The 12,707-nt window shown below is 36.0% G+C and overlaps 1 long non-coding RNA gene across 1 annotated transcript; it reads left to right on the top strand.

Annotated features, from left to right (window-relative positions):
- The first annotated feature begins 937 nt into the window (after positions 1 to 937).
- LINC02485 (long intergenic non-protein coding RNA 2485) lies at positions 938 to 11,412 on the top strand. The gene is made up of 3 exons (NR_147187.1): positions 938 to 1,015; positions 9,678 to 9,797; positions 11,199 to 11,412. It is a non-coding gene; the product is annotated as a long intergenic non-protein coding RNA 2485 (long non-coding RNA).
- The last annotated feature ends 1,295 nt before the right edge of the window (positions 11,413 to 12,707 follow it).

Raw genomic sequence — 12,707 nt, 5'->3', positions numbered from 1 at the left:
ACAAATCTCTGAGACATAGAGTGTAGGAGAAAAGAGAAAGTGGTAAGTAATCTCCAAATATAACCACTAATTCCTTCTATGGCCATGTGAGCATATTGTTCCTCACATCAAGAGATAAATTCTATTTCCTGTTCTCTTGAATATGAGTTATTCTTGTGACTTGTTTTTATATTAAATGTGGTGCAAATGACATACTTGGGGTTCTTGAGCCCAGAATGTAGTGGATTCTGCTTCTCCCTTTTGAGTTCAGTCTCCCTTATGTAAGGAAAACCAGGCTAGACATTGAATGATTAGAAGCCATATATGTGGGATCCTGGAAGATGAAGGCCATCTTGCATATTTTCACCCCAGCTGAGTTGCCAGCTGAATGGAGCTGCATAAGGGACTGGCCTCCAGCAAAATCTACAGAAGAATTACCCAGCTGAACCTAAGTGAATCCACAAAAATCTGAAAAAATAATAAACCATTATATTAAAGCACCAAGTTAGTAGATGATTGTTACACAATTGACAACTAATGCAGATATTGAAACCTATAGTTAATGTGCTAATATAACTAAAACCTAAAACATCTTTGTATGGCTTAGAGGAGAGTTATTCCTGCTGGAAGTATGAATTATAAAATGCTTCTCCGCTTGGCAAAAAAGCAGACCTTGCTCTGAGCTGATGCAACCTCATGCAAATGCACAAATTACAAGAAGCTTGCAATCCCTGTTTCAGTACAAGCAACTCTTCCTGTCTTCTTATCCAGGTAAAACTTACACAACTTTAAATGCTAAGAAAAATAGCAGAATTTGTAAATGGGGAAGACTGTGACAAATATTTAGACTTCCATGATTGTAAGGGGCTGAAAGTCTGAAAGTAGGTGAAGAATACAGACAACAAGCACTATACGATGGGTAGCCCATGGCTTAAGCCTCAAAAAAAAATTTTTCCAGAGTCACAAGAGGATGGGAGAGGAGCAGTCTGCAAGCAGCCGTAGGAGCAAGACCTTGAGACGTGTCCATCAATGCTACGTGAGTAGCTTCATGTGTTTTCTTTCTTTCTTTTTTTTTTTTTTTTGGTTTTTGTTTTTTGAGACGTAATTTCGCTCTTGTTGCCCAGGCTGGAGTGCAATGGCATGATCTTGCCTCACTGCAACCTTGGCCTCCCGGGTTCAAGTGATTCTTCTGCCCCAGCCTCCCGAGTAGCTGGGATTACATGTATGTGCCACCATGCCAGCTAATTTTTGTATTTTTAGTAGAGACGGGGTTTCTCTATGTTGGTCAAGCTGGTCTCAAACTCCCGACCTCAGGTGATCTGCCCGCCTTGGCCTCCCAAAGTGCTGGGATTACAGGCATGAGCCACCGTGCTGGGCCTCTGCATGTGTTATCTTATCACTCTGACTCCAAACCATTTCCATACACATTCAGTCTTGATCAATAATTTTACTTCCTAACATTTTTAATGATTTATCATTTGTTTTAGAATAAAGTACAATCACTCTATTTTAATTCTGAGGTATTGCCTACAGACCCTGACCCAAACAGTGGATGAATAAAACATACACTAACACACAGATATTCTGCTTTGCCAGTCCTGCTGAGTGTCCGACTGCCTGCACAACAAGAGAGGTTTGTCGCTGCACTGGTCCTGAGCAGCTCTCATTCCAGGCATTTATTTAGTATACAATTAACAACAGAAGCTTTGAGTAAACACACTTGTGGATAATTAAAATGGTTAAGAGAGTAGTTCTAGGAATGATTAAAGCTCAGGTACCACAGTCTAAGGAAAATACCATTAGGGGGAATATCCTTGGTTGACCTCCACCTGAGAGGGCCATCTGGCTCAAAGGTTAGTTAATGGAGGTAGAGTAAACAGACTTAACTGGGGAAGGCTCTATTGTCCCTAGTATTTAACCTATGACCTAATGCTCTAAGGTAAGAACCGGCTGCCTTCAGCCTGTTCAATTATTACAAGCTATGTAACCTTTGAGCCTTCCGAAAAGTTTATGACTATTCCCTATAACTCTCCCTAATATTTCCTTTTAATACTTCTGCCACCATCCTGAGTGAATCCCAACATAATTGTCTAAATATACTAAACTAACCCTCATTTGAAGATATTTTCATAGGTTTTCAATACCTATTACATTTTACTACATCTTCTTTCCAACATATCCCTCACATCTCACCCTAAACATTTATTTTTTAAGGGGCATTATTTGACTTTAACAAGATGAGTTCCACACATTATGTTTGTACTTCCCTTACTCTACCCCTTATCACACTTTATGAATATTACTAGCTTAACGTTACTTTTTTCTCCAATGAACTCTAAACTCTATAAGAAAAGGGATCATGGAAGTCTTGTTCAATATGTATCCTCACTTCTCGGCACAGGAACTGATGCAGAGAAGTGGAATAAAAATATTTGTGAAAGAATAAATGAGGGCTGGGTGCAGTGGCTCATGTCTATAATCCCAGCACTTTGGTAGGCCGAGGTGGGTGGATCACATGAGGTCAGGAGTTCCAGACCAACCTGGCCAACATGGCAAAACCGCATCTCTATTAAAAATACCAAAAAATTAGCCAAGCACGGTGGTGGGTGCCTGTAATCCCAGGTATTCAGGAGGCTGAGGCAAAAGAATCACTTGAACTTGGGAGTCGGAGGTTGCAGTGAGCTGAGATTGTGCCATTGCACTCCAGCCTGGAAGACAGAGTGGGACTCCTTCTCAAAAGAAAACAAAACAAAACAAAACAAAAACAAAAACAAAAATAACAAAAATCAATGAGTTTCTGATGCTGACTTAAGGCAGAATGAGATGTCAGAATGCTTTCTACTGAAGAGAGGAATAATTTAAGCATGAAAATAAGAAAACAGGGTAAGCATTATGGGGTAACCGGAACGGGGAAAATAAAGGATTCAGTCCTGAGACCCAAAATGCTGGTGACTCAAGTTACCAAAATGAAAAGAGAATCAAATGCCTCTACTAACCTGGTTCATGAAATGACTTGGATCTCTTCTTTTTCTTCTTCTTCTCTCTCTCTCTTTTTTTTTTTTTTTTTTTTAGACAGAGTCTCGCTCTGTTGCCAGGCTGGAATGTAATGGCACAATCTCGGCTCACTTCAACCTCTGCCTCCCGAATTCAAGCAATTCTCCTGCCTCAGCTTCCCTGAGTATCTGAGACTACAGATGCCCACCACCATGCCTGGCTAATTTTTGTATTTTTAGAAGAGACAGGGTTTCATCATGTTGGCCAGGCTGGTCTCGAACTCCTGACCTCAGGTAATCCACCGGACTCGGCCTCCCAAAATGCTGGGATTACAAGTGTGAGCCACCACGCCCAGCCAGATCTCTTCTTTAATAGAGAATAAAAACAGAAAAGCACAATCTAAAACCACACCAGGACAATTGTTTGCAGGGTTTCACATTTCAAATATATCTGCAGCTTGCCTTTGACTTAATAGTTACTGGTAATTATTTGTAATCATAAAAATGAAACCATTATATCTACTGTTTCCCATTGAAATATTCATTTTTTTTCACATTCTCAGTTTTCTCATACGTAACTAGCAATTATTGTATAAGAACAATATCCACTTATGTTGTTTACAGTAATTGTGGTTTGGGCTCTGGGCATCACAGCAGGATACAAATTACCTCAAGAACAAACAAATGCAAACACCATGGTTTATTATCTTCCGTAGCTCAAGTTCTTGTCTATCTTTCTTCAAATATAACATATTAATGATCTTAAAAATCTTGTATAGTATATATCGCGTAATAATTTTCTCCTGGACTGTTGTCCATTTCTGGAACAGAAAGGAGACTTTCATGTCATTTTTTTGTGTGCGTGCCGAAAGCATATTTAAAAATAGAAAGCCTTATCAGTAGAGTGGCCCAACATCTATCAGTTAGTAAGCAAGTTTCAGTAATTTAAAGGATAAAAACAGCATAAATGCATAGTAAAGAGAGAAAAAAAAAACAAATACAGACAGTCCCTGACTTACGATGGCTTGACTTACAGTTTTCTAACAGTGGGATGTGAAAGTTAAAGGCATTTCACAGAAATTATACTTGGAATTTGGATCTTTTCCCAGGCTAGCGATATGCAACGCAATTCTTTCTAGTGATGTTGGGCAATGGTAGTGAGCTGCAGTTCATGATGCTAAATAACTGATACTGTACTCTACAGTGCAGTGTATCAAGAAAGTCTATGAGATATTCATAGACTTTATTATGAAATCGGCTTTCTATTAGATGATTTTCACAAATGTTGGCTAATGTAAGTGTTCTAAGCACATTTAAGGTAGGTTAAGCTAAGCTGTGACATTCAGTAGGTTAGATGCTTTAAATGAATTTTCAACTTAATGATATTTTCAGTTTACGATGGGTTTATCCATTCATAACTCCATGGGAAGTTGAAGAGCATCTATAGATCAAGAATAAATACATAAATAACCAAGCAGACAGTTAATTAACCCTAGGATCATTTATTGATCATATGATGATTAAAATAGAAAAATGGACTGGGTTTCTTCAAGCCTACTAGTGGAATAGTTATACATTAAAGTCAATACAAAAGTTAAAAACAAAAACTTTGGTGACTCTTGACTTTCCTAAAGGCTTGATTCTGTATTTCTGATGTGTGAGAATCATAATGGATATTTTATGGGAAAACTGAAGGGTGGAAGGTGCTACTAGATTTTAATTTGGGGCTTTGATTCCTAGAGACTTACTTTTGAAACCAGGTCCTGAAACATTACTATCCCACCACATCCATAGAATCATTTCAAATTACTACTGTGTGGGCATAGTTGGGCAGAATCAAATTCAGAATATACACAATATAGCATTTCTGTGTGAAAGTACTAAACAATATTAGGACGTACACTGCCTTAAGCAAATAAATCAAATAATATAAAGCCTTTAAGTAAGTTTGCTTTTAAAAATTATAGATTCATAGAATTTTTAAGCTAGGCACAATCTTGTAAAAATTGAGTTTAACTCTTAATAGATGGCACATTACAGATCACATCTTTGGCAGTCTGAGAAATGAAAGGCTCTGATACTTGACCATCTAGTTCTTGCTTTTAAAAATAATTATCCACAAAGCATTTAACAACTAGAAAAAAAAAAGAGAGAGAGAGAGAGTAAGCACCTAGCAAAGTATTCTTACAGGGGCTGGGACTGTCCCTCCAACCACAGCTTTTTCATGTGTAAAGTGAAAATAGTATTAGTTCTTCTACAAAGGTGAGATTTAAATGAGATTAAGAATACAAAAGAAATTTTCACAATACCAGAACATAATAATTGGTTCTAAAATAATAACTTTAAAAATAATAAAAAATAGTTGTTAATGTTAATAATTTAACAATTAATAAAAAATTATTCACATTCCTTTCATTATAGATGCCACTCCTAACCTCCAAGCAATATTCTCAACTCTTTTATAGAAGCTCATCATTTAACACTTTTATCTTGGATTCCTAGTCTTTGTGCACGTCTTCTTCCTTGACACTTGAAAACTTTTCTGAAATCTACTACCCACATTCATTTTTACTTAAATTTCTTCCTTTCTGCAACATCAGAGTACATAACTTACATATTAATCACATATTTGGCTCCCTGGACATTTTTTTTGAACCTACATTGTGTGTTATCCATCAAAGTGTCAAAGAAACAGATGGTCGCCGTGGCTAATGACAATACCATTGATGAAAATCTCCATGAAACTTATTAACAGAAATTAATTTATTATTGGATATCGTTATTTTGAGGAAGAAATTTAAGATACCTAGAAAGTTAGCCTTGGATGATGCCTATGTTTATGGGCAAGGAATACTTAAAAAACAATAAGAAAAAGGAGCAGAAATATCAAAAAGAAATTATAAAAAGCACGTACATTGTTAAAGTGTTGAAAGTGGAGAGGTAATGTTTGAAAAGATAATGATATTAAGCACTATTAAATGCTACGGAGATAAAGAAGAGGACTAAAAGTTTCTATAGATCATTTTTGTACATTTTTGAATCTATTATCGCATGGACATGTTCATATTTTGCCAGCTTCTAAGTCTAGATTTTCCTTACTTGAGCTTCATGTTTACCTTCTCATTTTTGTCCTCCCTTGTATGTTTGGCCAATAGGTTGTTGTATCTGAGATAAAATTTCACACATTCTATCTTCCTGAAGTTCTCAATGTCTTAGTGGAGTGTTTCTCAAAATGTACCTCCCAGCACACTTGTGTCAGAATCCTCCAAGCTATAGTGCTTGTAAAAAAAAAAAAAAAAAAAAAAAAAAAATCAGGTATCAGGCTCTGTCCTTTATCTAACCTATTAGACTAAGGGACATATCTTCCTGCCTCCTTTTAGTGATACCTTTTTACATACTTTTCTGTTGGGTTTCACCACGCAATATGTGTAACACATTTCCTCTTTTCCTGGGGTCAGTTTCAATAATGCTGGAAAGATGGAAGCTCCAGTGAATCCATGCTTCTTTACTCCTTAGATCAAATTCAATTAATGTCTCACCCAAGGCTTTAAATGCTTGGAGTTTGGAGGCAGATAGCAAGCCTCCTGGCAAAGCTGTGTGCCTGAAAAAGCTTTTCACCTAGAAACTCTTTCTTTCATAATTGCAAATACAAATTTAAAAAAAGAGGATTAATTCTGTTGACTGAAAATAGTAGAGGAGACTCCAACTTACTTAATTTTCTTACAGCATTTATTTTAGAAAACTTTTGTAATTACAATTCCTTTACTTTTTCTCTTTGAAATGTATGGAAATTTTCATAAAAGCTAAATAATCATCTTGCCAAATTTACACATAGGAATTTCTTTCTCAAGGAATTCTTTTCTTTTTAATTTAATGATCAAGGAAAATGAAGCCTCTATCTCCTAGTTTCTACAGAAGGGTAGGAGCCTAAATTCCATCAGCACCTTCCTCCAAGTTGCAAAACTACCTTTTGTCATAATATATAAAATATAAGATATGTAAGAAATTTATTTTTCTTTTGGATAAAGCTAATTAGACAATCAGCTAATACAGATCATCATTATTAAAGAAGAAATACCTGAGTATTTATCTTAATAAACTTGACCAAAAAGAAAAATATAACAACAAAGGAAACCAAAAAGTAAGAAAAGGGGAAAACAAAACTAAAATTTGAAATTAATAAAATAGAAAACCAGTAAACTCTTTTGAAAGACAAATACAATCCGAAAGCTTATTTTATTTGACGTGAAGAATACAATAGATAAATGTCTTTTGAGATTGAGTAAGAAAAACAAACACATTAGTTTCAATTAAGAAAGGTAACATTCAAATATATGGAAGACTATAAAATAATTAAAAGAAAGTGTAGCTTTTTACTGTGGAAAAATACACTTGGAAATTTCAAGGATGTTGATGATTTCACGAAACATTTTTACACTTGCTTTATATCTTCCAAAACCAAAGACATTTAAGCAGTAGCTTTTTTCTTCACAATTCAATTAGTTTTCTTAAATTAAGATTTAGGCATTAATTTAATGGAACATTCCCTCTCGTAAGTCTAACATTTCTGAGGCAGTCATCTAAAATGATACTTGCCTGGGAGGCCCAAGGCAAAATAGTTTACCTTCAGGCCTATTACGCATCACTGTGTAGGCCTAATGCAAATTAGAATTCTGACTCTAGTCTAGTTTGGAATTTTGATTAGCCTGAGGGAATAAGGCAAAAGAGGAAAGAAGGAAGTCTTTATTGAATATCAACTATATATCAGAAAGTTTTTTATCTATGCTTTTATGTAAACAAATTCATTTGATTTTCACAGCTGAAAAAGATATTGTTACATACTTTTCATTTTTTAGATGAAAGACAGAGTTTCAAATGGGCCAACTTTTTCAAATTACCCAGCAGGCAAAGGTGAAGTTCAAACTTAGTATGATTGATGTCAAAGGCCATCCCCTTTTCTGTTGTGTAATACCTCACTTTGTTCAGGAAAAGGTAAAGAATGAGTTCATCAGTTTCATATTTGGTTTATTTGCCTTCTTAGATTTGTTTCCTACAAAATTGTATGCAAGCTGATACTCTTACCAAACATGTATTTTGGAAAGTAGGAAATTTTTAATGTATGCACAGGGCTGGGAAGTGGAGAATTCAAGAAAAAAAATGATGGAGAGAGTGTGCAGATATATAGATATTAAACACTTTTTAATGAGTAGTTGTGTATTATATGCTGTTGTCATGAATAGGAACAAACATGAAATGAAACTTTAATTCTTTGGTGATAGATATAATAAACAAGTAACAACTGAATAAGAAAAATAATTTCTAATGTTCTGATGTTTTTTTTAAAAGAAGAATAGAGTGCAACTGGGGTAGAAGGAATAGGTGATAATTTGTGGTGGTTTGTTAAGGAAGATCTCTAAGTTGAGGTGACTAGAACTGAGAGCTGAATGAAGAGAAGAAGCTGGTTTTGCAAATAAATGTGAAGCCCAGAACTCAAAGATAAATCGGAAAGCAAATACAAAAATCCTGAAGCATGATCCAACAGATAAAAAAGCCTGTGCATGGATTTTATTCTATCTTGTGAAGGCGATTAATTGATGCAGATGTGAAATCTTAGAGAGAAAGAGAAAGGGACTGCAGAAGTCACAGTAACTCTTGTTACAATGCAAGTGTCAATAGAGATGGGGAAAGATGTACTCAGTGTGAATTATACTAGCTTTATATGAGCTTCATAGGCATATTTGCTAAATGTGTCGGTCTTCAAGCATGAGGTATGATTAGGCTTTTGCCTAAATAATTAATTCAGTGACTACATCTTTCAGAAGTTGTCACAGATTCTTCAGCCAAAAAAAAAAAAGTATACATATACTGGAATGCCATAGATTTGCATTTGTATATATCTTACTGTTGTCTTTTTCCACTGTGTTTTAAAATTATTTAAATAAATCTTAAGTCGTTTTTATTCTACTGCTTTTAGGTTTTCAAGAGTATACACCTTACTCATTTTATGAGTTTAATGTTTTTTTAAATGAATACATGAATGTTATAGTGTCATAAAATATTTGTTATTTTTCACTGATTGAAATTTTACTCTTCAATATGGAACTCTTCTACTTTGCCTCCCTAGTATTATGCTATTGAAAGACTCCATTCAAGGTAAGAATACTGAAAACTATAAAGTCTAAAATGGACAGAATAACTAAGAATTTTATCATTGGAATTGGATAGCTCAGCCTCTAGGGCAATTTTTTTTTCTTTTGACTGAGATTTTAGAATCACAATTTGCATTAACAGAATCTATCTTTACAAGTCAAACTCCCAGAGTTATAAATTTTCATCTAGTACAAATATTTGCATGGAACCAACTGCACTCAGGACAATTCTTTATTAGTATGGTCTGTTATGAAAAGGATGCACCAAGTAGAAAGACCCAGCATTACATTGATATAGATGAGTCTCTTATTTTCATGATAGTATACCAAACCTCAAAAATCTTCCAATTGCTCTGATGTTATCCCTAGAAGGCAAGCAAGTCCTCAGGGCAAAGCTTATATCATTAGATATGGACTTTGATGTGAACTCTTTTATTTCTGTTCACTTTGTCAACCTTTTCAGTACCTGAGTCTGTAAAATTGGACATTGGGAATGGCTAAAATTTGGCTCCAGAGATTTGCAGCAAAATTAAACTATTATGCTAATTGCCTCCAGGATAGATTCTGCTTTGGAGATCAACATGCTGTATATCACAATAATGATGGGACTCACGGCATGGAGGATGGACAGAGGAGCTTTCTCCTGGAGTGGTATTTCTGGAATTTCTAGTGTCAGGTAAAGTTCACAGCATGCTCTGTAGATTCACTTTTATCACAAGTTGTGGTTCAATACAGAACAAGAAGTGTTATTTATTATGATGACCACCACAAGTCATCATGCAGCAGACCATTCCAAAGTATTGGTCGAGATAGTCATTGGCTATATTCCCCTTTATAGCCTGGAAGACTCCTGAACAACCAGAATACATTTAATTTATATTATCTCTTTTAAAAATCCAAATAAAAATTTTCTATGTTCTTAAATTAATCCCATCTGGATACCTCTGTGTGCCTCTTCCTTAGAACATAAATTTCACATTGCTGCAACACATGAAACATGTATCTCTTGGCAAGTCACAATGTTACTTTTTGTTGACAATCTGTGCCAGCTTGCAATTTGATGTTGCTACTAAAAATTAGAGATGGGCATGCCTGTTATTAACACTGCCTCAAATGTGAAAGTGAAATTATGACTGTAAGTTGTCACTGCCAAATTATCCTGTGCCAGTAGGTATTATAAAAGGGGATAGAATACACAACAATACATTGGTGGAAAAGGCGTAGATTATGGTGAAATATTTGTGTTTACCTTCTTAAAATAGAAGGAACACGATTGTCTGGATTGTCTAGATCTTTGATAAACAAAACATTCTAGTGCAGTGTACCAAAACAAATGCAATAATGTAATAAATGTAATAATGTGATATAACAGTATTTTAAAGAAAAGGCAATAAACTCAGGCCAATCTTGAAGACTTTTGTTATTGTGAAATTTCTGCCCAAATGAGCTGTTTTACTTCTTTCCTACATGTTTCAAGCCCTTTGCCAGTTTGTTCACTCTACTGTAGCTATACAAGCCTTTTATCTGTTTGATCATGTCCCAGGACTTTTTTAGTTTCTTCATTATTTATTTTTAAACTCTCTGCTACCCATATACTTACAAGACCAGTCTCTTCTCTTTATTCAAGTCTCATCCAGAAATCTTTAGCTCATCTAGGAAATCCACAAAAAACTGTCACCCCTCTTCTCACCCTAGATGCACTCTATTTAGTATTATGGCAATTAACAAGGCAGGCAGAACTCCATAACTCATGCAGTTTTCGTCATATTGGGTAGAGGCAATAAGCTAGTAAGCAAATGCATGAAGAGAATAATTTCAGATTTCTGTGTGAACTTTAAAAAGCCTAAAGCAAGATACTGTGGGTCAACAGAGGTGGGAGAACAGGATGGTTATTTAATATGTATTATAATTTATAAATAAAAACTTTAAATATTAATATGAAAGTAGAATAATCTCTACATAACCACAGAGTTATATTTACAACCCTGAATGGAAGAATGATCAGATAGCAATCAGCTAATTTTGTTGTGTGTGTCCCATTCTCCTCAAATGTAAGTATTTGAATATCTTTTTACAGGTGCTACTTAATATCTCTCACAAGAAAAGAAGAAATCCCTCTGCCTTTTAATGTTCTGGGAATAGAAAGAATAAAGGAGACTGAGGTGAATCCACCAAGGAGTATAGCAATTTCTATTTGTCTCCTTAATAGTCCAACACTTCACTCACACAACAATGTTACGTAGTTTCATCAAATGATGAGTCCAGCCCCTTTCTTCTGCAGAAAATGTCAGTTCACTGCTCCTTGCCTACAAAATAGAAATTAGAGAGATACCAGCTTTTCTAGCCAGACTACAAAATTACTTTGACTAAATCGCTAAAAATTCAGCCTCTCTACCAATTTCCACAATACGTCTCAAATGGTAACTTTAATCTCTGTTTGTGCCTTTCAGGAATCCAATGAGCAAACAATTCTTTCTCTAAAGCAACTCTCCCTTCAGCCCATTGTGTTGTAGGTCTTTTCAGTCCCCTGAGAAACTCATAATTCCTGTAGCTGATGTCCATCTTCCCCAAAATGTATTACCATTTATTATTTGCATGTATGTCCTTTTTCATTTGCTTTATTCCTATGGGTTTATGCTCTCCTTCCCTTGTTTTCTTAAAGATAAAAATCCCCTTACTTTTATTTCAATGATGTTGGGAAAGTGTCGTAAATAAAGGTTGTCAATGTTCTCTGTTCCTTGAACTTTTAAATCAATGATTAAAAACAGCATCATGATAAATTTTAAGAAAATAATATATTCAGATGATATTATTTCCTTTGGCATAATGATTGTGATTTGCACTTAAAAATGATTACTTGTGGAAAGATTTTCATATGCCTTACAAATGATCCAGAGCTTCTGTGAAAGATTTTATGTGTACAGTTAAAAACGATTTTGTGTATATTGACTTAAGAACATGTATTAATTTAGGGGTTCCAAGATGGCCGAATAGGAACAGCTCCAGTCTACAGCTCCCAGTGTGAGTGATGCAGAAGACAGATGATTTCTGCATTTCCAACTGCGGTACCGGGTTCATCTCACTGGGGATTGTCGGACAGTGAGTGCAGGACAGTGGGGGCAGTGCACCAAGCATGAGCCGAAGCAGGGCAAGGCCTCGCCTCACCCGGGAAGCACAAACAGTCAGGGAATTCCCTTTCCTAGCCAAGGAAAGGGGTGAAAGATGGCACCTGGAAAATCGGGTCACTCCCACCCTAATACTCTGCTTTTCCAATGGTCTTAGCAAATGGCACACCAGGAGATTATAGCCCACGCCTGGCTTGGAGGGTCCTACGCCCATGGAGCCTCGCTCATTGCTAGCACAGCAGTCTGAGATCAAACTGCAAGGTGGCAGCTAGGCTGGGGGAGGGGTGCCCGCCATTGCTGAGGCTTGAGCAGGTAAACAAGGTGGCCCGGAAGCTCGAACTGGGTGGAGCCCACTGCAGCTCAAAGAGGACTGCCTGCCTCTGTAGACTCCACCTCTGGGGACAGGGCATAGCCAAACAAAAGACAGCAGAAACCTCTGCAGACTTAAATGTCCCTGTCTG

The sequence above is a fragment of the Homo sapiens genome, chromosome 4, assembly GCF_000001405.40.
Source record: "Homo sapiens chromosome 4, GRCh38.p14 Primary Assembly".
Classification (NCBI taxonomy): domain Eukaryota; kingdom Metazoa; phylum Chordata; class Mammalia; order Primates; family Hominidae; genus Homo; species Homo sapiens.
The sequence above is the reverse complement of the archived record's forward strand: the minus strand, read 5'-3'. Positions and strand labels throughout refer to the sequence as shown.